General features: G+C 53.0%; 1 protein-coding gene across 24 annotated transcripts; it reads left to right on the forward strand.

Moving 5' to 3' along the window:
• CPT1C (carnitine palmitoyltransferase 1C) lies at positions 23 to 23,092 on the forward strand. Of its 24 annotated transcripts, NR_108072.2 has the most exons (21): positions 477 to 701; positions 1,022 to 1,131; positions 1,600 to 1,754; positions 5,843 to 5,963; positions 6,687 to 6,826; positions 10,045 to 10,216; positions 10,678 to 10,779; positions 10,858 to 10,995; positions 14,071 to 14,148; positions 14,368 to 14,475; positions 14,575 to 14,659; positions 15,270 to 15,465; positions 15,592 to 15,774; positions 16,879 to 16,984; positions 18,084 to 18,200; positions 19,681 to 19,845; positions 20,084 to 20,218; positions 21,170 to 21,322; positions 22,097 to 22,210; positions 22,333 to 22,425; positions 22,781 to 23,092. NR_108072.2 is itself a non-coding variant. In XM_047438159.1 (20 exons), exons 3-20 carry the CDS (start codon positions 1,614 to 1,616, stop codon positions 22,964 to 22,966), a joined length of 2,379 nt encoding a protein of 792 aa, XP_047294115.1. In that variant the 5' UTR covers positions 202 to 358; positions 1,182 to 1,250; positions 1,600 to 1,613; the 3' UTR covers positions 22,967 to 23,092. The 24 variants fall into 24 exon arrangements, 23 of the variants coding, with proteins under 23 accessions (XP_047294107.1, XP_047294117.1, XP_047294109.1 ...); XM_047438159.1 differs by lacking the exons at positions 477 to 701; positions 1,022 to 1,131; positions 5,843 to 5,963 and adding exons at positions 202 to 358; positions 1,182 to 1,250 and having other exon boundaries at positions 14,401 to 14,475; XM_047438157.1 differs by lacking the exons at positions 477 to 701; positions 1,022 to 1,131; positions 5,843 to 5,963 and adding exons at positions 217 to 358; positions 1,182 to 1,250.

The raw sequence follows: 24,875 nt of genomic DNA on the forward strand, positions 1-24,875 counted from the left end.
CTATTAGCCATGCTGCTTCTCCCTCACGGAAGTCCCACTGTCTACCTTGAATCCAACCCGCTGTGGCGCCTTTCTTGCCAACTCAATCCATGCACCTTCCGTGGGTGGTTTTGGCGGGCCGTCCTGACCCCCAAACATCCCTCCTCCCTCCCTGGCGTGAAAGGGCTGAGATTTGCTCCGGCACCCTACGCGCCTGACGTTATAATGCACCTGGGGTGGGCTGCGACCTCCCAGCTGAGCCTTGTTCCTCGAAGAGACAGGAGACTAAGAGACAATGAGCTGAGTGAGGAGCCCAGGAACCCGGGTTCCGAACAGCTGCGTAGAATGCGAGCGGCCAAATGGTGGAGAATCTGGCCGGGTAAAAGGAGACGGAGGACTGGGGATCGAACGGATGTAGGGGATTGGACGCCGTGGCTCGAAGGGGGCGGGGATAGAACGCGGGGATTGGAAGGAGGCGGGGATAAAACCCGGGACCTGAATACCCGGCTAGGGACACGAGAGAGAGGAATCGGGGTTTCTGGGTGACGGTGATCTCGGGGTGGGCAGGACTCCAAAGGCCCGTCGACCCGGTGGTGGACTCCTTGCACTGGGATTGGACATATGCAAGCGGGAGATTTGGGGCCGGCGCTCAAAATCGGGGGGCGGGGGTGGACTCGGGTTTGGACCCCAGGATCCGATCAGCGGACCCTTGATTCAACGTGGTAAGTACTGGACCCCAGGGGCTCGGGCTCCGGCGGGGCCTGGAGTCCTGTGTCTAGGGTTGGGCGTGCAAGCCTCTCCATCACTTGTCCTCGACGCTCGCCTCCGCTCACAGCCTCAGCATCCCAGGCTGCGAGGCATGCGCAGTGGGTGCTTCCTTCCCCATTCCCTCCAGCACGGGCGGGGGGAGGGGACGCTGAGCGGATGAATTTATAGACACCATCCCCCTCGCCTTGGCATGAAAAGCGGCAATGGGGTGGACAGCGTCAATGTCTAACAGGTGTTTGTTTCATATGGGTCTAAAACTAATGCTTTTCTCAAGACCCCGCAACTCAGCCTGGACCAGTTTCCCTCCTCCACCCACCCCCGAATCTTGAGAATCCTGTACTGGGGGGAGGGCACTGCCCCCGCACCATGTTCTTGGGAGAGCAGGTAAAGGGGTTAACGCGAGCTATCCCTCTGGCCTCTCTATGCGTTCCCAGAGGTCCCGAATTGACGTCCTTCCCTCAAAACCTCCGGGTCTACAAACCAGGACCCTCAAGACCCTTCAGGTGCTTAGAGAAGGATGAGCTAGGTTATGTAGTCCTGGGTCGGCGCAAAAAGGCAGCTGAAAGCGTGAGATCCCGGGTCTGAGGGAGGAGGGGCTGGGGCCTGGGCTTCTGGGTCTGAGGGAGGAGGGGCTGGGGGCCTGGACTCCTGGATCTGAGAGAGGAGGGGCTGGGGCCTGGGCTTCTGGGTCTGAGGGAGGAGGGGCTGGGGGCCTGGACTCCTGGATCTGAGAGAGGAGGGACTGGGGCCTGGACTCCTGGGTATGAAGGAGGAGGAGGGGCTGGGGGCCTGGACTCCTGAGTCTGAGGGCGGAGGGGCTGGGGTCCTGAAGTATGACTCTGCCCGACTCAGGGCTCCAGCGTGACATGGCTGAAGCGCACCAGGCCGTGGGCTTCCGACCCTCGCTGACCTCGGACGGGGCTGAAGTGGAACTCAGTGCCCCTGTGCTGCAGGAGATCTACCTCTCTGGCCTGCGCTCCTGGAAAAGGCATCTCTCACGTTTCTGGGTGAGGAGCGGTGCTGGTCGGTTTCCTTCCGGGGATCCAGGTTTCTGCTTCCGGGATGTCTGAGGCTCACTTCCGGCATTTCAGCTGGTTCATTTCTGGGAGACTATCACCCCTTTTTCTTAGAATTTTGATGTCTGCTCCCAGGACCCCTTTAGCAATTTCTCCGTGGCTCACTTCTGGGATCCACAGCCCCACCTGCTGAGAACCTCTGCTCACTTCTTTCACCCAAGAGGGGAACTGGGCCCCCCAAAAACTACCCACTTCCAGTTTCTAGAACTCCATATCCTTCCCTTATGGTGAAATTATCATTTCTTCCTTTCATCTCCAGCTTCTTTTGTAGTTGTTGTTTCTGAGACACAGTCTCACTCTGTCGCCCAGGCTGGAGTGCAGTGGCGGGATCTCAGCTCACTGCAACCTCCGCCTCCTGGGTTCAAGCAATTCCCTGCCTCAGCCTCCCAGGTAGCCGGGATTATTGGCGCACGCCACCATGCCTGGCTTATTTATTTATTTATTTATGAGACAGAGTCTCACTCTGTTGCCCAGACTGGAATGCAGTGGGGTGATCTTGGCTCACTGCAACCACCTCCCAGGTTCAAGCGATTCTCCTGCCTCAGCCTCCCGAGTAGCTGGGATTACAGGCATGGATTATACGCCCAGCTAATTTTTGTATTTTTAGTAGAGACGGGGTTTCAACATGTTGGCCAGGCTAATCTCGATCTCCTGACCTCAAGTGATCTGCCTCCCAAAGCGCTTGGGTTACAGGAATGAGCCACCGCGCCCGGCCCAAACTCCTGCTCTGTCCCTGTTCTGGAATGCGCATGCCCAATGTGTAACCAGCACCCATGTCTGTCCCAGGGTTTCTGGTTCTAGAACTCTTGCACTGTCTCCATACAGGGACTCCCTGCTTGTCACATCCTCTGTGTGTGAACTGGGGTCTGGAACACCTGTGGGGTCATGATTGAGTTTGAATCCTGACTCCACCGCTTAGTAGCTGTGTCATCTTGGGCAAGCACCTCTCTTGGAGTCGCAGTTTCCCCTCGTGGAAAACATGGGTGTTGACAGCACCTCCCTCACAGGATAGCCTTGAAGACTAAATTAATTCTTCTATGTCCTGGCCCATGGCGAGGTCTGAGTGTTAGCTTCTGATATTGTTCTTCATTCATTCACCATATATTTATGGGGCATCCGGTAAGGGCCTGGCCCTCTTTAGCATGGAGAACACAGCAGATATCAACAGACAGAATCACGCCTGGGCACTGCGGGCTCACGGCTTTAATCCCAGCACTTTGGGAGGCTGAGGCAGGAGGATCACTTGAGCCCAGGACTTGGACACCAGCCTGGACAACATAGGGAGACCCCATCTCTATTAAAAAAATAAAGACAGGTCGGGCACGGTGGCTCATGCCTGTAATCCCAACACTTTGGGAGGCTGAGACGGACGGATCATGAGGTCAGGAGATCGAGACCCTTCTGGCTAACACGGTGAAACCCCGTTTCTACTAAAAATACACACACACACAAATTAGCCTGGTGTGGTAGTGGGTGCCTGTAGTTCCAATTACTCAGGAGGCTGAGGCAGGAGAATGGCGTGAATCCGGGAGGCGGAGCTTGCAGTGAGCCAAGATGGCGCCACTGCACTCCAGCCTGGGCGACAGAGCGAGACTCCGTCTCAAAAAAAAATAAAATAAAATAAAAAATAAATAAATAAATAAATAAATAAATAAATAAATAATAAAGACAGAATCCTGCTTTTATAGAGTTCTCATTCGAGTTGGGGGAGAAGGCAATAAAACAGATGAGCAAAACAGAAGGCAATAAAACAGATGAGCAAAATATAGGGTATGGTGACATTCTATAGTGTCATCTGATATTGATGGTGACACATGCTATGGTGAATGATAAATCGGGTAGAGAAGAGTGATGTGGGGGTGTTGCAGTTAAATAAGGGGGTGGCAGGCCAGGTGCGGTGGCTCACGCCTGTAATCCCAGCACTTTGGGAAGCCAAGGCAGACAGATCACGAAGTCAGGAGTTCAAGACCAGCCTGGCCAATATAGTGAAACCCCATCTCTACTAAAAATACAAAAATTAGCCGGGTGTGGTGGCAGGCACCTGTAATCACAGCTACCTGGGAGGCTGAGGCAGAAGAATCACTTGAATCCAGGAGGCAGAGATTGCAGTGAGCCAAGATTGCGCCACTGCACTCCAGCCTGGGTGACAGAGCAAGACTCCGTTTCAAAAAAAAAAAAAAAAAAGGGGGTGGGAGCCGGCGGCCAGGAGGATCTCCTGAAGCTGGGATGCTTCAGCAGGCTAAACTGAACCTCTGTGGTCTTGTTGGTTGTATAATCTGTTCCAGTTGGCAAACAGCCACTGCCTTGAACTCCGAATCCCTCTCCCGCCCTTACCCTGGGACTCCTTGGGCCTCAGGCCAGTCTACCAACTAAAGTGTTAACATGTGACCATCCTTGGCCAGGCATGGTGGCTCACGCCTCTAATCCCAGCACTTTGGGAGGCCGAGGCGGGCAGATCACGAGGTCAGGAGATCAAGACCATCCTAGCTAACACAGTGAAACTCCGTCTCTACTAAACATACAAAAAAATTAGCTGGGCGTGGTGGCAGTCACCTGTAGTCCCAGCTACTTGGGAGGCTGAGGCAGGAGAATGGCGTGAACCCAGGAGGCGGAGCTTGCAGTGAGCCGAGATCGTGCCACTGCACTCCAGCCTGGGCAACAAAGCGAGACTCCGTCTCAAAAAAAAACAAACATGTGGCCATCCTTTTCGTGTGTTTAAATACATACATACATAGATACATACATATTTATAGACCTATAAATATATACATGCACACACATATATATGATAACATTACATGGAGAAAAATGCACAATTTTTTTTTTTTTTTTTTTTTTGAGACGGAGTTTTGTTCTTGTTGCCCAGGCTGGATTGCAATGGCATGATCTTGGCTCACTCCAATTTCCGCCTCATGGGTTCAAGCTATTCTCCTTCCTCAGCTTCCCAAGTAGCTGAGATTACAGGTGCCTGCCACCAGGCCCGGCTAATTTTTTGTATTTTTAGTATAGACAGGGTTTCACCATGTTGGCCAGGATGATCTCGAACTCCTGATCTCAGGTGATCCACCCGCCTTGGCCTCTCAGAGTGCTGGGACTACAGGCATGATCCACTGCACCTGGCCTTTTTTTTTTTTTTTTTTTTTGACATGGAGTCAGTCTGTTGCCAGGCTGGAGTGCAGTGGCGTGATCTCGACTTACTGCAACCTCTGCCTCCTGGGTTCAAGTGATTCTCCTGCCTCAGCCTCCAAGTAGCTAGGACTACAGGCGTGTGCCACCACGCCAAGCTAATTTTGTATTTTTAGTAGAGACGGGGTTTCACCATGTTGGCCAGGATGGTCTCGATCTCTTGACCTCGTGATCCGCCCACCTTGGCCTCCCAAAGCACTGGGATTACACGCATAAGCCATTGCCCCTGGCCTTTTTTTTGAGACAGCGTCTCACTCTGTTGCTGTTGCCCAGGCTGGAGTGCAATAGCAGGATCTTGGCTCACTGCAACCTCCATCTCCTGGGTTTAAGCAATTTTTCTGCCTTAGCCTCCTGAGTAGCTGGGATTATAGGTTCCCACCACCACGCCTGGCTAATTTTTGTATTTTTAGTAGAGATGGGGTTTTGCCATGTTGGCCAGGCTGGTCTGGAATGCCTGACCTCAGGTGATCCACCCGCCTAGGCCTCCCAAAGTGCTGGGATTACAGGCATGAGCTACTGCGCCCGGCCAAACCCCAGTGTTTTCATTTGTAAAATGAGATCATCTTAGTACTTATTTCACATGGTTTGGGGAGGATTTAAATTGTTAATCCTTGTAAATGGCACCTGGAATGTAGTAAGTGCTCATTAAACGTTAGTTATCTCTCTGAGGCTTCCAAAGGAGTTTAGTTAGTAACGCAGTGCTGTTGGTCGTTCCTCATTCATTCCATGCCCTGGTACTTCTAGAAGGCCTTACTGAGCTCCAGACCCTGCTCTGAATAGGGATCATTTTTCTTTTTCTTTTCTTTTCTTTTTTTTTTTTTTTTTTGAGACAGGGTCTTACTTACTTTGTTACCCAGGCTGGAGTGCAGTGTCACCATCACAGCTCACTTCATCCCTGAACTCCTGGGCTCAAGCGATCCTCCTGCTTCAGCCTTCCAAGTAGCTGGGACTAAGGTGTGTGCCACTGCGCCTAATTTTTTTTTCTTTCTTTTTTTTTTTTTGGAGACCTTGTCTTGCTCTGTCACCCAGGCTGGAGTGCAGTAGCGTGATCTTGGATCACTGCAACCTCAGCCTCCCGGGCTCCAGCGATTCTCGTGCCTCAGTCTCCCAAGTAGTTGGGATTACAGGTGCCTGCCACCATGCCCGGCTAATTTTTGTATTTTTACTAGAGACGGATTTCACCATGTTGGCCAGGCCAGTCTTGAACTCCTGGCCTCAAGTGATCCGCCTGCCTCAGCCTCCCAAAGTGTTGGGATTACAGGCGTGAGCCACCGCTGGTCTTGAACTCCTGGGCTCAAGGGATTCTCCTCCTTGACCTCCCAAAGTGCTGAGTTTACAGGAGTGAGCCACCACATCCGGACTGTTCTGCCTTTGACAGCCTCCCCTTCCAGGTCCTGCCTCAGAATATCCTCCTCCAGGGAGCCCTCCCTGATGCCCTCGAACTGTAACTTGGCAGCACAGGGCTCCTCCTATTTCTTGCCCTATAGCAATTAATACTTACTTCATTCTGGTCTGACCTCGCTGAGGGCAGGACCTGGATCTCTCTGTTCCCTACTAGATCTTGAGCCTCCAGCTCAGGGCTCCGCACTGGGTGCTCAGTAATGTCTGGGGATGGCACAGAACAGGGGCTCAGAGGAGAGGGCAGATGATTCAATGGATGCCCTTTCCTCCCCACAGAATGACTTTCTCACCGGTGTGTTTCCTGCCAGCCCCCTCAGTTGGCTTTTCCTCTTCAGTGCCATCCAGCTTGCCTGGTTCCTCCAGCTGGATCCTTCCTTAGGACTGATGGAGAAGATCAAAGAGTTGCTGCCTGACTGGTGAGGTCCCCCCACTCCAGCCCAGTAACCCCCAATCACTCTCCCTTCACCCAGTAAGTTCCTCTGTCATTGTGGTGTACCTGCTAAAGAAAAGTAACCTCTGAGACTTACATTGGGTCAGATTAATAAAGGCATGGCATGAAGAAAAAGGAGGTGAGGCCGGGCACAGTGGCTCACCCCTGTAATCCCAGCACATTGGGCATTGGGAGGCTGAGGTGGGTGTATCGCTTGAGGTCAGGAGTTCGAGACCAGCCTGGCCAACATGGTGAAACCTTGTCTCTACTAAAAATACAAAAATTAGGCCAGGCATGGTGGCTCATGCCTGTAATCCCAGCACTTTGGAAGGCTGAGGCACGTGGATCAACTGAGATCAGGAGTTCAAGACCAGCCTGGCCAACAGGGTGAAACCCTGTCTCTACTAAAAATACAAAAAATTAGCTGGGCGTGGTGGCAGGAGCCTGTAATTCCAGCTACTAGGGAGGCTGAGGCAGGAGAATCGCTTGAACCCGGGAGGTGGAGGTTGCAGTGAGCCGAGATTGCGCCATTGCACTCCAGCTTGGGTGACAAGAGCGAAACTCCATCTCAAAAAAAAAAAAAAAAAAAAAAGGTGTGAGCTTTGCTGGGCACAGTGGCTCATGCCTGTAATCCCAGCACTTTTGGAGGCCAAGGCAGGAGGATCACTTGAGCCCAGGAGTTTGAGACCAACCTAAGCAACATGGTGAAACCCCGTCTCTACTAAAAATAACAAAAAATTAGCCAAGTGTGGTGTCACTTACCTGTGGTCCCAGCTACCCAGGAGGCTGAGGTGGAGATCACCTGAGCTCAGGAGGTCGAGGCTGCAGTGAGCTGAGATCATGCCACTGCATTGCAGCCTGGGCAACAGAGTGACACCCTGTCTCAAGAAAAAAGAAAAATAGCCAAGCATGGTGGTTTACACCTGTAATCCCAGCACTTTGGGAGGCCGAGGTGGCCAGATCACCTGAGGTCAGGAGTTTGAGACCAGCCTGGACAACATAGTGAAACCCCGTCTCTACTAAAAATACAAAAATTAGCCGGGTGTGGTGGTGCGCGCCTGTAGTCCCAGCTACTCAGGAGGCTAAGGCAGGATAATCACTTGAACCCGGGAGGCGGAGGTTGCGGTGAGTCGAAATTGTGCCACTGCACTTCAGCCTTGGTGACAGAGCGAGACTCTGTCTCAAAAAAAAAAAAAAAGTATGAGCTTTGCCCGTCTCTAGTCATGTAGTCTTAGGCAAGGATCTCATCGTTGTTGATTGTCAAGGCCTTCATCTGTAAAATGAGGTATGAATAATTGCTTCTTAGTGTGCTTGGAAGAATTAATCAAAATCCTGCCTGTCGGCGGGATGTGGTGACTCACACCTGTAATCCCAGCACTTTGGGAGGCTGAGGCGGGTGGATCACCTGAGGTCAGGAGCTTGAGACCAGTCTGGCCAACATGGTGAAACTCTGTCTCTACTAAAAATACAAAAATTAGCCGAGTGTGGTGGCAGGTGCTTGTAATCCCAGCTACTTGGGAGGCTGAGGCAGGAGAATTGTTTGAACCTGGGAGGCGGAGCTTGCAGTGAGGCGAGATCACGCCACTGCACTCCAGCCTGGGCGACAGAGAGAGACTCCGTCTCAATTAAAAGAAAAAAAAATCATGCCTGTCATATAGTCAGTAGAGTGCCAGGAGGTCCTCATGGGAGTGGCTGCATTATTTTTATTGAGTTATTGTGATCTTCAGGAAGGGTCTGAAAACTGGGTGCAGGTGAGATGTCAGGTCTAGTTCTCGGATGAGTCCTCCCGGGGAGGAAGGTCCACATTTTGTGCAGATGGCCCCAAAGAACAGACCCAGGATCAGATGTAGACAATTCCAAGACGGAGGCCGGGCACAGTGGCTCACACTTGTAATCCCAGCACTTCGGAGGGCTGAGGCAGGAGGCTTGAGCTCAGGAGTTGGAGACCAGCCTGGGCAACATAGAGACCCCTGTCTCTAAAAAAAAAAAAAAAAAAAAAAAAAAAAAAAAAATTCCTGGAACGCTAGATTTACCCCCAGTCTACAGAGGGAAAGTGATTTGACCCAAGTCCTCCAGGTGACATTTGCAAACTTTGCAAACAAACATGTTGATTTAATGTAGCTTTAGACCAGCTTTTCCTAAATTTAAGCTTGTATTGGAATCACCTGGATGGGTTGTTAAACCGCTGACTATGGCCAGGTGCTGTGGCTCACACCTGTTATCCCAGCACTTTGGGAGGCCCAAGTGGGTGGATCACCTAAGGTCAGGAGTTCGAGAGCCGCCTGGCCAATGTGGTGAAACCCTCTCTACTAAAAATGCAAAAAATTAGCTGGGCGTGGTGGCGGGCGCCTGCAGTCCCAGCTACTCGGGAGGCTGAGGTAGGAGAATTGCTTGAACCCAGGAGATGGAGGTTGCAGTGAGCCGAGATAGTGCCACTGCACTCCAGCCTGGGCGACAGAGTGAAACTCCATCTCAAAAACAAAACATGCCGGGCGTGGTGGCTCACGCCTGTAATCCCAGCACTTTGGGATGCCAAGGCAGGCGGATCACGAGGTCAGGAGATCAAGACCATCATGGCTAACACGGTGAAACCTCATCTCTACTAAAAATAACAACAAATAGCCGGGCGTGGTGGTGGGCACCTGTATTCCCAGCTACTCCGGAGGCTGAGGCAGGAGAATGGCGTGAACCCAGGAGGCGGAGCTTGCAGTGAGCCGAGATAGCACCACAGCACTCCAGCCTGGGCGACAGAGCGAGACTCCATCCCAAAAACAAAACAAAACAAAAAAAAAAACGCTGATTGCTGGACCCCACCCTGAGAGATTCTGGCTTGTTAGGTCTTAAAGGCGCCCAGGAATATGCATTTCGAACAAGCTCCCAGGCAGTGCTCCCAGGAGCCACAGTTTCAGAACTATTGCCTTAGAGTAGTGATAGCTGGAAGGAAAAAGTGTCCCCTCAATAGAAATAATGGCTGTCATTTATTAAACACCTACCAACTTCCATGGAAAGTGACTTTGGAAGCTTGGTGCTGCCACAATGGGAGGGGGCTGGAGGGGGTGACAGAGCTCACACCTACTAAAATGACAAAAATGGGTTTCTCTGTCTGACAGCCAAAAGATCAGCGCAGGGGCTGGAGGGGGCTGGAAGGGAGGGAGGTTCTGAGGCCAGGAGACCCAGGCCCAGCCTCTGTTTCTCTCCCCGCAGGGGTGGACAACACCACGGGCTCCGGGGGGTCCTGGCAGCCGCGCTGTTTGCCTCGTGTTTGTGGGGAGCCCTGATCTTCACACTGCACGTGGCCCTGAGGCTGCTTCTGTCCTACCACGGCTGGCTTCTTGAGCCCCACGGAGCCATGTCCTCCCCCACCAAGACCTGGCTGGTATGGGAGGGGCATAGCCCTGCTCAGGCTCTCCTGGGACCCGCTTATCTATTCCCCTCTCTCTGGGTCTCTGTCCCCCTCTCTCTGGGTCTCTGTCCCTCTCTCTCTGGGTCTCTTCCCCCTCTCTTTCTGGGTCTCTGTCCTCCTCTGTCCCTGGGTCTCTGTCCCCCTCTCTCTGGGTCTCTGTCCCCCTCTCTCTCTGTGTCTCCGTCCCCCCCTCTGGGTCTCTACCCCCGACTCTCTCTGGGTCTCTGCCCCCCTCTCTCTCTGGGTCTCTGTCCCCCTCTCTCTGGGTCTCTGTCCCCTGTCTCTGGGTCTCTGTTCCTTTCTCTCTTGGGGTCTCCGATGCTCTTAAGTCTCTGTGTCCTTCTCTTTGGGTTTCTGTCCCACTGTCGACCCCTGCCCCGTCAACTCCCTGGCTCCGGTGAGGGGTTAATGACCCGGTAACTCCTCCTCCCCAGGCCCTGGTCCGCATCTTCTCTGGCCGCCACCCGATGCTGTTCAGTTACCAGCGCTCCCTGCCACGCCAGCCCGTGCCCTCTGTGCAGGACACCGTGCGCAAGGTGGGCCTGGGAGCGCGCAGACGGGCTGGGGCGGCCGGGGCGGGCCGGGGGCGTGACCTGCCCTCTTCTCCCCTTTAGTACCTGGAGTCGGTCCGGCCCATCCTCTCCGACGAGGACTTCGACTGGACCGCGGTCCTGGCGCAGGAATTCCTGAGGCTGCAGGCGTCGCTGCTGCAGTGGTACCTGCGGCTCAAGTCCTGGTGGGCGTCCAATTATGTGAGTCCCGCCACCGCCACCAACGCCCCACCTGAAGGGCTAAGGTTGTGAGCTCGCCTGCTAAACTTGCGAGTTATACGCCCTGCCCCACGACACGCCCACAACCCACACGCCCCCAGCCCCCAAGGGTCAATACCCTGAGCCCCGCTCACATACATCTATATCCTAACCTCCACATTTATATATATATAAAAATATATATGTATATATATTTATTTATATATAAATATATAGTGTATATATAAATATATATATTTATTTATAAATATATATATTTATATTTATATACAAATATTAATATTTATAAATTTATATATAAATATATTTATATATAAATTTATAAATAAATATATAAATATTATAAATATATTAAATATATTTATTTATAAATTATAAATATATATTTATTTATAAATTATAAATATATATTTATTTATAAATTATAAATATATATTTATTTATAAATTATAAATATATATTTATTTATTTATAAATTATAAATAAATATATATTTATTTATAAATTATAAATAAATATATATTTATTTATATATAGGCTTATATATTTATTTATATATATATGCTCATAACATATATATGCTCTCTCTATATATTTAATGTTGAAGTTTGGGGTATAGATGCTCCAGTATTCTGAGCTTCACCCTTGATCTTCCAAAGTTTGAACCAGAATTCCAGGACTTAGCCCTGGTGCAATGTCTCACGCCTGTAATGCCAGCAGGTTGCGAGGCCAAGGCAGGCGGATCACGTGAGGTCAAGAGTTCAAGACCAGCCTGGCCAACATGGTGAAACCCCGTCTCTACTAAAAATACAAAAATTAAACAGGTCTGGTGGCGCACACGCCTATAATCCCAGCTACTCGGGAGGCTGAGGCGGGAGGATTGCTTGAACCCAGGAGGCAGAGGTGGCACTGAACTGAGATCGCGCCACTGCACTTCGGCCTGGGCCACAGAGCAAGACTCTGTCTCAAAAAAAAAAAAAGAAAAGAAAAAAAAAAAGACAAAACCAAAGGAGTTGAATGGTGAGGAGTGGTGGGAGAGGCCTGAACTCCAGACTGAGGATCCTGGACTCTTTCCTGGGGGTACTAGGGAGCCATGGGAGGGTTTGGAGCAGGGAAGGGGCAGGGTCAGCTTTGGTGTGGGGGAAAGACTGGAGGGCGGGAGGCTGCAGAGGAAGCTACCGTGAGACCTACCATTGTAGGTCATTGAGACACTGGGCTGGGATGAGAAAAGCTGCAGCAAGAGTGAGAGGGGAAGGGAAGAGGGTCCCCGGCAGAGCCCCACGAGGCAGCTATGTGGAAGCCTCAGTTGGTCAAACCCAGCGAAGGGGACGAAATATCTGGAGAAGTAAAAGGGAATGCAGGCCTTGCTTTTCTGGTTAAATATTTTTTTCTTCACACTTTTGGACAAGATTCTGTTTACACACACACACACACACACACACACACACTCATTTCTTTCTTCCCTTCCTTCCCTCCCTCCCTCCCTCCTTTCCTACCTTCTTTCCTGCCTGCCTGCCTGCCTTCTCTCTCTCTTTCCTTCCTTTTTTTCTGTCTCCTTCCTTCCTTTTTTTCTTTGAGATGGAGTCTCACTCTGTCGCCCAGGCTGTAGTGCACTGGCACCGTCTCAGCTCACTGCAAGCTCTACCTCCCAGGTTCACGCCATTCTCCTGCCTCAGCCTCCCATACCTGGCTAATTTCTTTTTTTTTTTTTTTGTATTTTTGTATTTTTAGTAGAGATGGGGTTTCACCGTGTTAGCCAGGATGGTCTCGACCTCCTGACCTCGTGATCCGCCTGCCTCGGCCTCCCAAAGTGTTGGGATTTACAGGCGTGAGCCACCATGCCCGGCCTCTTTCTTTCTTTCTTTCTCTATCTTTCTCTCTCTCCCCCTCCCTCCCTTTCTGTCTCTCTCTCCTCCCTCCCTCCCTCCCTCCCTCCCTCCCTCCCTTCCTTCCTTCCTTCCTTCCTTCTCTCTTTCTCTCTCTTTCCTTTTTCTTTCTTGGAAGGGGTCTCACTCTGTCACCCAGGCTGTAGTGCAGTGGCGTGATCAAAGCTCACTGCAGCCTTGACCTCCCAGACTCAAGCCATCCTCCCATCTCAGCCTCCTGAGTAGCTGGGACTACAGGCATGTGCCCCTAAGCCTGGCTAATTTTTAAATTTTTTGTAGACATGGGGTCTTGCTATGTTGCACAGACTGGTCTCAAACTCCGAGGCTCAAGCTATCCTCCCACCTCAGCCTCCCAAAATGCTGAGATAAGAGGTGTGAGCCACTGCGCCCAGCCTGTATATTTTATTGTACCTCCAAGCCAACTGCCAGTGACACACGCACCATTTTTTTATGTACAACAACAACAACAAAAAACCCTACAAGAGCAGCTAAACCGTGACACAGTGCTTTCTTTTGTGTTTTTCATTGTTTGAATTTTATCATGGTATTGGCAAGGCCACAATTTTCATGTATTTACACATATGTATATTATTTCACATATTTATTGTTTTATAAATTTTACATTTATGTTCTGTTTTTCTTTTTTGGGGGGGACGGAGTTTCACTCTTGTTGCCCAGGCTGGAGTGCAATGGTGCGATCTCAGCTCCTTGCAACCTCTGCCTCCCCGACTCAAGCGATTCTCCTGCCTCAGGCTACCGAGTAGCCGGGATTACAGGCGTGCACCACCACGTGTGGCTAATGTTTGTATTTTTAGTAGAGACAGGGTTTCATCATGTTGGCCAGGCTGGTCTTGAACACCTGACCTCAGGTGATCCACCCGCTTAGCCTCCCAAAGTGCTGGGATTACAGGCGGGAGCCACCGTGCCCAGCTGTACCTTGTTATTTCCACCAGCTATGTAATATTCCACTGCCGGAGTATAACAGGGTTTAGCTAACTGATCCCCCATGGATGGATTTCTAGGTGATCGCTAGTTACTGACTACGATGGCTGACTTCTTTGGCTCTATCCTCCCTGCCTGACGCAGGAGCATCTGGGGCCTTCCCTGTCCTACTGTCCCTCCCCCAACAGGCCCCAGCCCCTCACTGTGTGTCTCCCCACCCCGCTCCCAGGTCAGTGACTGGTGGGAGGAATTTGTGTACCTGCGCTCCCGAAATCCGCTGATGGTGAACAGCAACTATTACATGATGGTGAGAAGGGGAGGGGTGAGGTTCATAGGCCCCAGGTCTAGGGTTGGGGGGTACCTGGGCGGAATGTGACGGTCATGCTCAGTGACCTGGATCTAGACGCGCCATCTGGGATTCATCATTCCACCCTCTTTTGGGGTCAGGACCTGTATTTGGGTCAGTGGCTCCATCGGGGGCAAACCTGACCCTGGGTGTTTTGCCATCCCCTCTCCTGGTCCCCAGGACTTCCTGTATGTCACACCCACGCCTCTGCAGGCAGCTCGCGCTGGGAATGCCGTCCATGCCCTCCTCCTGTACCGCCACCGCCTGAACCGCCAGGAGATACCCCCGGTGAGAGGGCCCCAGTGGGTTAGGGATGGAGGTGTGGTCCTGTGGCCTTTGGGCCACGTGGGTCCTGGAAGGCAGCTCACAGCCCACGGTTTCCTGCAGACTTTGCTGATGGGAATGCGCCCCTTATGCTCTGCCCAGTACGAGAAGATCTTCAACACCACGCGGATTCCAGGGGTCCAAAAAGGTGAGACCCTCTCCTGTCCCCACTGATGGAGGCAGAACAATATAGTGGCTAAGAGCATGTTTTCTGGAGTCCGCCTGACTGAGCTGGGAACCATTGCTTCCTTGCTGTGTGACCTTCTGCACGTTATTACCCTCTCTGAGCCTCAGCTTCCACTAAAGTGGGATAATAATTGTACCTAGGGGCTGGGCGCAGTGACTGATGCCTGTAATCCCAGCACTTTGTGGGGCCGAGGTGGACAATTGCTTAGGCCAGGAGTTCGAGACCAGCCTAGGGCAACGTAGTGAGATCCGGTCTATATACAAAATTTAAAAATTAGCCAGGCATGGTGATATGCACCTGTGGCCCCAGTTAATCGGGAGCCTGAAGTGGAAGGATCACCTGAGCCCCGGAGGTTGAGGCTGCAGTGAGCTGAGATCTCACCACTGCACTCCAGCCTGGCGACAGAGCGAGACCTTGTCTCCAAATACTAAGTAAATAAAAGTCCTAGGGTGCTGATGATTACTAGGGTACTTTGAACAACTGACGACACCTAAGAAGTATATAATAAATGGTCACTATTTTTATGTGTCTGGCCTTCCTGCCCCCATGCTTCTGCCAACGCCACCCCTAGACTACATCCGCCACCTCCATGACAGCCAACACGTGGCTGTCTTCCACCGGGGCCGATTCTTCCGCATGGGGACCCACTCCCGAAACAGCCTGCTTTCCCCGAGAGCCCTGGAGCAGCAGTTTCAGAGAATCCTGGATGATCCCTCACCGGCCTGCCCCCACGAGGAACATCTGGCAGCTCTGACAGCTGCTCCCAGGTAAGGGTCAGGGGTCAGGGGTCAGGGGCTCTCAGAGGCCGCCAGTGTCCTGAGACTGTGGAAGGGCAGGGTGGGGCCAGGTGGCGGCTGGGCAGGATGGACTCAGGCACATCCCGGGCCCTCCAGGGGCACGTGGGCCCAGGTGCGGACATCCCTGAAGACCCAGGCAGCGGAGGCCCTGGAGGCGGTGGAAGGGGCCGCTTTCTTTGTGTCACTGGATGCTGAGCCCGCGGGGCTCACCAGGGAGGACCCGGCAGCGTCGTTGGATGCCTACGCCCATGCTCTGCTGGCCGGCCGGGGCCATGATCGGTGAGTGAGTCTTGGGATGGGGCCCCCAGATGTGGCACCCGAGAATCCAGTATCAGACCTAGGACCCCTGACAGTAGACAGCCAGACCCTGGAGCCCACACCTGCAGAGTCTGTAGACCAGGGGCTGCATAGAGCTGAGGACCCCAGACCCAGTGCTTTGGGACCTGGAGACCTCTGACCTGGGGAACCCCTCAACCTGGGACCCAAGACCTATAAACCAGACCCAGTGACCCCCAAATCTGAGACTCCCAAACCCCTGAGCTGGACCCTCCGACCCAGAGAACTCAGCATCACAGACCCAGAGACCCCAGATCTGAGGACCACCAAACCCAGGACCCCTAGGCCCAGGGACCCCAGACTTGGCAACCTCAGCCTCAGAACTTGAACCATTCAATCCTCAGGCCTTAATGCAGGCACCCCAAATCCATGGCCCTAGACCCAGACTTCCAGACCTAGAGATTCTCAGGCCTGGCAGGCATCACTGAATTCCTAGGCCCCAGGGGGGTCCCGCTGACCTCCCAGCACCCCCAAAAGCCTTGAACCTTCCTCGGCAAGTTTCCTAAAAATCTCCAAACTCCAGACTGGGCATGGTGGCTCATGCCTGTAGTCTCAGCACTTTGGGAGGCTGAGAGGGGCGGATCACCTGAGATCAGGAGTTTGAGACCAGCCTGGCCAATATGGTGAAACCTCATCTCCACTAAAAATGCAAAAATTAGCTGGGCATGGTGGTGCATGCTTGTGATCCCAGCTACTTGGGAGGCTGAGGCGGGAGAATCACTTGAACCCTCAGCTACTTGGGAGGCGGAGGTTGCAGTGAGCCGAGATCGCGCCACTGCACTCCAGCCTGGGCGACAAGAGTGAAACTCCATCTCAAAACAAACAAACAAACAAAAAAACAATCTCCAAACTCTAAATCCCAGACATGTCTTGGAGACCTCCAGGGCCACTACTGGGGACCCCCAATGGTCCTAGAGATCCCCATACCAGCACCCCAATGGATTCCCACATCTTCCCATCTAGAAAACCCCCTCAAGTCCCACAGAAAGCACTCTGAGGTCCCCGTGCCCCTCGCTCTTGGTGACCCATCTGAACTCTCCCTGACAGCTGGTTTGACAAATCCTTCACCCTAATCGTCTTCTCTAACGGGAAGCTGGGCCTCAGCGTGGAGCACTCCTGGGCCGACTGCCCCATCTCAGGACACATGTGGGAGGTAGGGCGGCCAGCCCTCCCTGGTTCTGGGGACCCCTGCCCCATCTCCAAAGACCGTCCTCTCCAGCGCCTTAGTGTCAGAAGAAAAACTGAGGCTTGGCCGGGCACGGTGGTTCATGCCTGTAATCCCAGCATTTTGGGAGGCCGAGGTGGGCGGATCATGAGGTCAGGAGTTCGAGACCAGCCTGGCCAACATAGTGAAACCCTGCCTCTACTAAAAATACAAAAAAATTAGCCAGGCATGGTGGTGTGTGCCTGTAATCCCTGCTACTCGGGAGGCTGAGGCATGAGAATCGCATGAACCCGGGAGGTGGAGGTTGCAGTGAGCTGACATTGTGCCACTGTACTTCAGCCTGGGCGACAGAGCAAGAATACATCTCAAAAAAAAAAAAAAAAAAAAAAAAAGAAAAGAAAAACTGAGGCTCAGGGAGAGGCAGAGGCTGGCCCAGGGTCACCTGGCAAAGAAAGGGGACTGGGATGAGGACCTTCCTTTGATGAGTTGGTAACTGGGGCTCAAAGAAGGGAAGTGATTTTCCCAGAGTCACACAGCGAGGAGTTACAGAGCAAGAAGATGACTCCAGGCTGGGTGCAGTGGCTCATGCCTGTAATCCCAGCACTTTGGGAGGTCAAGGCAGGAAGATCAATTGAGCCCAGGAGTTTGAGACTAGCCTGGGCAACATAATGAGAACCTGTCTACAAAAAACGTTAAAAAAAAACAAAAAAAACAAAACCAGCCAGTCATGGTGGTACATGCCTGTGGCCCCAGCTACTCCGGAGGCTAAGGCAGGAGGATGGCTTGAGCCCAGGAGTTTGAGGCTGCAGTGAGTTATAATTTCACCACTGCACACCAGCCTGGATGACAGAGCAAGACCCTGTCAAAAAAGGAAAAGAAAATAAGGACAGTAAACACCAGTTGAGTATTGGTGTTAGTCCTGTTCTTGATGAACATGAACCTGAGACCGCATCTGTGAATATCAGAGGTTTCTGTTTCTCAGGGACTGCCCCCTACCCGAAAAAGGGCTGCATGAAAAGAGGTCCCGGGTTAGATGGCCTCAGTCCACAGGGAGGAAGGGACTCTAACAGCCTCTGTTTGCCCACAGTTCACTCTGGCTACAGAATGCTTTCAGCTGGGCTACTCAACAGACGGCCACTGCAAGGGGCACCCGGACCCCACACTACCCCAGCCCCAGCGGCTGCAATGGGACCTTCCAGACCAGGTGAGGCTGGGTTTCTGGGCCTCTCCTCCAAGTCCCAAGATTCCTAGCCTTGACTTCAAACTCATCCCCACCCCTAATCTGAACGTGAAAATCAACCCCATTCCTACCCCCAACCCGAAACCCATGCTTCCCCCACCCCCAAATCAGGCCATATGCATCCACAACCTCAAACCCCAACACGAACCTCATCTCCAGCCCCAACTCCAACCGTCCTCCCACTGCCAATCCCATCCTCAACCCCAACCCCATCTCTACCTGTTTCAGACTCAAAAACCACCACTGTCCAACCCCAGCACCAACCCCTACTCCATTTTCCTTCCAAATCCATCTCCATACCCAATCCCATCCCAACACCACCTGAATTCATTCCCATGTTCATCCTAACTCCACCCCATACCAAACCCTAACCCCATACCCAACCCCAACCCCATCCTGTACTCAGCCACGACCCCACTTCCAATGACAACCCATGCCCAACTCATCCCATACCCAACCTCAACCCCATACCCCACACCAACCCCATCCCGTACTCAGCCACAACCCCACCTCCAACCACAACCCATGCCCAACTCGAATTCACTTCCCATACCCAACCCCTTCCCCGTTCTATTCCCAAACCACTCTCAGTCCCTCCTCCATCCCCATCCCCAACCCCAGCTTCAACTGTGGCCCAACCCCAATCTTGTTCCAGTCTACACATGCCATCCCTATCCCCATTTTTTTTTTTTTTTTTGAGATGGAGTCCCGCTCTGTCACCCAGGCTGGAGTGCAATGACACGATCTCAGTTCACTGCAACCTCCATCTCCCAGGTTCAAGCGATTCTCTTGCCTCAGCCTCCTGAGGAGCTGGGATTACAGGTGCCCACTACCACACCCGGCTAAATTTTTTTATTTTTAATAGAGATGAGGTTTTTCCATGTTGGCCAGGCTGGTCTCAAACTCCTGACCTCAGGTGATCCAGCCACCTCAGTCTCCCAAAGTGTTGGGATTACAGGCGTGAGCCACCGCGCCCGGCATTTTTTTTTTGAGACGGAGTCTTGCTCTGTACCCAGGCTGGAGTGCAGTGGTGCGATCTCAGCTCACTGCAACCTCTGCCTCCTGGGTTCAAGCGATTCTCCTGCCTCAGCCTCCCAAGTAGCTGGGACTACAGGCACGTGCCACCACGGCCAGCTAGTTTTTTGTATTTTTAGTAGAGACGAGGTTTCATCATGTTGGTCAGGCTGGTCTCAAACTCCCGACCTCAGGTGATCCGCCCGCCTCGGCCTCCCAAAGTGCTGGGATTACAGGCGTGCGCCACCACGCCCAGCCCCTATCCCCATCTTTAGTCTCATCCTTCAATTCTCTTCTCTTCTTTGTCCCCATTTCCATATTCTGCCGCAACCTTAACTCCACATCCACCTCCGCTTCCAGCCTTATTCCTGGCTTTCACCCTACCCCCATCTGTAACCCCAACTACTCCTCTTCCCTCCTCCTCTGGCAGATCCACTCCTCCATCTCTCTAGCCCTGAGGGGAGCCAAGATCTTGTCTGAAAATGTCGACTGCCATGTCGTTCCATTCTCCCTATTTGGCAAGAGCTTCATCCGACGCTGCCACCTCTCTTCAGACAGCTTCATCCAGATCGCCTTGCAACTGGCCCACTTCCGGGTCAGTTGGGTTCCCCATCCACAGCCCCCGCAGGGTCTCAGTCCACCTGAGCCCCCAAGACCTGCCCCTCCACGGTTCCTTGTGGTCGCTGCCATTGTGGGTCGGCCATCTTGAATTCTCTCTTCCAACCATTCTTGGGCTGGCTGGAGGAGGCTGGAGGTCTGGACAGAGATAGGTCAAGTCTGTAAGATCTCCTGAGCCCAGCTGACAGACTCCTCTTCTCCTCCCTGTCCCCCAGGACAGGGGTCAATTCTGCCTGACTTATGAGTCGGCCATGACTCGCTTATTCCTGGAAGGCCGGACGGAGACGGTGCGGTCTTGCACGAGGGAGGCCTGCAACTTTGTCAGGGCCATGGAGGACAAAGAGAAGACGGTGGGTGCAGCCCTCGCTTGAGGCTTCAGTTATTTCTGTGTACTCACTCATCCACTTGCAAACGTTGATGGGACCTACTGAAGCCAGCCTCCACGAGGAGCACAAGGGACAAGGGATGAATCGGACCTGGCCTCTGACTTCAAAGAGCTCACTGATGGGGGGAGACAGCCCAGCATAGTGTGATATCTGCTTTCATGGTGGTCTCACAGGGCACTGGGGGTGCACCCAAGAAGGAACCCCATTTCTTTTTTTTTGAGATGGAGTCTTGCTCTGTTGCCCAGGCTGGAGTGCAGTGGCACAATCTCGGCTTACTGCAACCTCTGCCTCTCAGGTTCAAGCGATTCTCATGCCTCAGCCTCCTGAGTAGCTGGAATTATAGGCACCCGCCACCATGCCCAGCTAATTTTTTTTTTTTTTTTTTGTATTTTTAGTAGAGACGGGGTTTCACCATGTTGGCCAGGCTGGTCTCGAACTCCTGACCTCAGGTGATCTCCCTGCCTCGGCCTCCCAAAGTGCTGGGATTACAGGCGTGAGCCAATGCACCTGGCTGGAACTCCATTTTTACAACGTAACTCTGCCCATTTAACCTCTTTGTGACTTGTGACCTTCCTTTGCACCCCTGTACCCTCTCTGCCCAGATCCCACCTGCCCTGCACCTCTTCTCCCTTGCCCTACACCTAGCCCCGCACCTACAAGGTATTGTGGTTCCATGGAAGGAGTTTGGACTCTGGGGCCAGACACACCTAGGAACCCGCCTGGCTCTCCCTGGCTGTGTGAACCTGGCCAAATGATTTCCCCTCTCTAAGCCTCAGTTCCCCATCTGTAAAATGGGGTTGATATTCCCACCTTGCAGGGATGTGGCAAACTCAGTTGAGGCCAGATGTGCCGCAGGCCCAGCCCTAAGTCGACTTCCTGTCTTTCCATGACCTGTGACCTCCCTGGGGACTGCAGGACCCACAGTGCCTCGCCCTGTTCCGCGTGGCAGTGGACAAGCACCAGGCTCTGCTGAAGGCAGCCATGAGCGGGCAGGGAGTTGACCGCCACCTGTTTGCGCTGTACATCGTGTCCCGATTCCTCCACCTGCAGTCGCCCTTCCTGACCCAGGTTGGGGCACAGGGAAAGGGTTAGAGAGGGAAGTGGGAGACCATGGAAGAAGGGAGAGGTTTCAGGGAAGGAGGGTGATGTTGAAAAAGGACCCATCAAGGCCGGGCACGGTGGCTCACGCCTGTAATCCCAGCAGTTTGGGAAGCCGAGGCAGGCGGATCACTTGAGGTCAAGAGTTCGAGACCAGCCTGGCCAACTTGGCGAAACCCTGTCTCTACTAAAAATACAAAAATTAGCTGGGTATGGTGACAGGCACCTGTAATCCCAGCTACTTGGGAGGGCTGAGGCAATAGAATCCCTTGAACCCGGGAGGCGGAGGCTGTAGTGAGCTGAGATCGCACCACTGCACTCCAGCCTGGACGACAGAGCAAGACTCTGTCTCAAAAAAAAAAAAAAAAGGAGGGTGATGTTGAGAAAGGATGCGTCAGCAGAGAAGTCAGTTGTGGGGGGGCGGCAAGGCAGAAGGCGGAGAGGCAACGGGACAACGGGAGCAGACAAAAGGGGAGAGGGTCAGTGGGGTGGGGATAAGAGGAAAGGGCGTGGTCAGAGGAGGGGCGTGGTCCGAGGGAGAAGAGGAGAGGGACGTGGGTGTGGGTGGTGAGACGAGTGAGGGGCGTGGCCAGATAGGGCGTGGTCAGGAGAAGGGCGTGGTTAGGGAGAAGGAGGCCCGGATTTACGGGTAAAAAAAAAGCCAGGGATGCAGGGAGTGAAGTGGAGCCAAGGGCCGGAACTGCAGATCTCTGTCCTGCACATGTGATGGGCTCCTGTCCTCAGGTCCATTCGGAGCAGTGGCAGCTGTCCACCAGCCAGATCCCTGTTCAGCAAATGCATCTGTTTGACGTCCACAATTACCCGGACTATGTTTCCTCAGGCGGTGGATTCGGGCCTGTGAGTGGAGCTGGGCGCGCTGGCCCCCAGAGGAAAGAGGGGGCTGGGGGGCCTGCACTCCTGCATAGTGGGGGTGGAGGGGACCGGAGCTATTTTCTTCCCTTCACTCTTTCCGTCTCCAGGCTGATGACCATGGTTATGGTGTTTCTTATATCTTCATGGGGGATGGCATGATCACCTTCCACATCTCCAGCAAAAAATCAAGCACAAAAACGGTGAGACAAACGTGTATACCCACCAACTCCCTCTTTCCTCAGGAACCAGGAGTCTGGGCCCCCAGCCCCTCCTCCCTCAGACCCAGGATTCCAGGCCCCAGCCCCTCCTCCCTCAGACCCAGGAGTCCAGGCCCCCAGCCCCTCCTCCCTCAGACCCGGGAGTCCAGGCCCCCAGCCCCTCCTCCCTCAGACCCGGGAGTCCAGGCCCCCAGCCCCTCCTCCCTCAGACTCGGGAGTCCAGGCCCCAGCTCCTCCTCCCTCAGACTCAGGAATCCAGGCCCTTAGCCCTCTTGTTTCTCAGCCTCCAGGATCCCATCTCCCAGCTTCCCCTGGCTCTGACCTGTTCTCCTTCCAGGATTCCCACAGGCTGGGGCAGCACATTGAGGACGCACTGCTGGATGTGGCCTCCCTGTTCCAGGCGGGACAGCATTTTAAGCGCCGGTTCAGAGGGTCAGGGAAGGAGAACTCCAGGCACAGGTGTGGATTTCTCTCCCGCCAGACTGGGGCCTCCAAGGCCTCAATGACATCCACCGACTTCTGACTCCTTCCAGCAGGCAGCTGGCCTCTCCAAGGAATAAGGGTGAAATTGCCACAGCTGGCTGACACAGGACAGGGGCAACTGGTTTGGCAACCCCACATCCAGGCCAATAAAGATGTGTGAGCTGGGTGTGTGGTGTCTGCTATGCTCTTGGGCAGGGCAGGGGTAGAAGAGGTAAGGACCAGGGTGGAGGAGGACAGAAGCTCCCATCCATTCCCAGGCCCAGCCAGGGATTCCCAGTTGCAGTCACAGCTTCAACCACAGCCCGCAACACCTGCCCAGTGTACTTCATTTCCAGCTTCACTCATACCAAACCCAACCCTCCAAGGCCAGTGCCAATCAAACACAACCTCACAAGTTCTCCTGAGCCTAATTCCTGCTGCCCCAACACCACTGTCCACCTCAAATCCATCTCCAGGCCGGGCGCGGTGGCTCATGTCTGTAATCCCAGAACTTTGGGAGGCCAAGGTGGGCGGATCATGAGGTCAGGAGATCAAGACCTTCCTGGCGAACACTGTGAAACCCCGTCTCTATTAAAAATACAAAAAAATTAGCCGGGCATGGTGGCGAGCACCTGTAGTCCCAGCTACTCGGGAGGCTGAGGCAGGAGAATGGCATGAACCCGGGAGGCGGAGCTTGCAGTGAGAAGAAATCGTGCCATTGCACCCCAGCCTGGGGGACACAGCAAGACTCTGTCTCAAAAAAAAAAAAAAAATCCATCTCCAAACCTAAAGATCCAGCCACCCCAATTGACAATCCCCAAACGAACCCACGAAAATTTTTATTACCCAACCCCAACTCCAGCCATTTCTTTTTCTTTTTCTTTTTTTGAGAGAGAGTCTTGTTCTGTCACCCAGGCTGGAGTGCAGTGGTGCAATCTTGGCTCACTGCAATCTCTGCCTCCTGGGTTCAAGCAATTCTCCTGCCTCAGCCTCCCGAGTAGCTGGGACTACAGGCATCCGCCACCATGACCGGCTAATTTTTTTTTGTATTTTTAGTGGAGACGGGTTTTGGGGTTTCATCATGTTGGTCAGGCTGGTCTCGAACTCCTGACCTCAAATGATCCACCCACCTTGGCCTCCCAAAGTGCTGGGATTATGGGCATGAGCCACTGTGCCTGGCCTACTCCAGCCATTTCAACCTCTTCCTCAATGACGGATTCAGCTCCCATAACTAGGAAATGCACTGCCCAGTGCACACCACCCTAACGCTGCCATCATTCCAGCAATCAGCAACTCCATGATGCCACACCCCACTATACACAACAACTCAACTACAGTTCGAACCACACAACCAACACAACGTCCAACTCCAAGCTCCACCATCCCCACCAAATATCCCTTCTCATTTCCACCATAACCCACACTTTACCTTGACCCATAGTGATGACTTTATTTTTATTTATTTATTTATTTATATTTTAAGACGGAGTCTTGCTCCGTCGCCCAGGCTGGAGTGCAGCGGCGTGATCTCAGCTCACTGCAAGCTCTGCCTTCCGGGTTCATGCCATTCTCCTACCTCAGCCTCCCGAGTAGCTGGGACTACAGGTGCCCGCCACCACGCCCAGCTAATTTTTTTGTATTTTCAGTAGAGACGGGGTTTCACTGTGTTAGTCAGGATGGTCTCGATCTCCTGACCTCGTGATCCGCCTGCCTCGGCCTCCCAAAGTGCTGGGATTACAGGCGTGAGCCACCGCGCCCGGCCAGTGATGACTTTAAACACCATCATCCCCGAGCACACCTTCACTGTGCTCCACCACCCCCACCATTACAATCTCCACCAGCCCAACTACAGCCATCAACACCAAACCCAATCACCCACCCCACCAATACCACGGTTCCAACGCGCCATCAATCTAACCCTCACTGCTTCTGAGTCAAACAATAATACAACCCAACAACAAAATCAAAAT

This window comes from Homo sapiens, chromosome 19, assembly GCF_000001405.40.
Source record: "Homo sapiens chromosome 19, GRCh38.p14 Primary Assembly".
In the NCBI taxonomy this organism is placed as follows: domain Eukaryota; kingdom Metazoa; phylum Chordata; class Mammalia; order Primates; family Hominidae; genus Homo; species Homo sapiens.

Excerpts from the sequence above, each read along its gene's own strand:
- CPT1C (XM_047438151.1), top strand. The coding sequence starts at position 1,614 with ATGGCTGAAGCGCACCAGGCCGTGGGCTTCCGACCCTCGCTGACCTCG. Across the intron at positions 15,775-16,878 it reads GCCGGCCGGGGCCATGATCG|CTGGTTTGACAAATCCTTCA; the intron begins GTGAGTGAGTCT and ends TCTCCCTGACAG. Across the intron at positions 20,219-21,169 it reads TGGAGGACAAAGAGAAGACG|GACCCACAGTGCCTCGCCCT; the intron begins GTGGGTGCAGCC and ends TGGGGACTGCAG.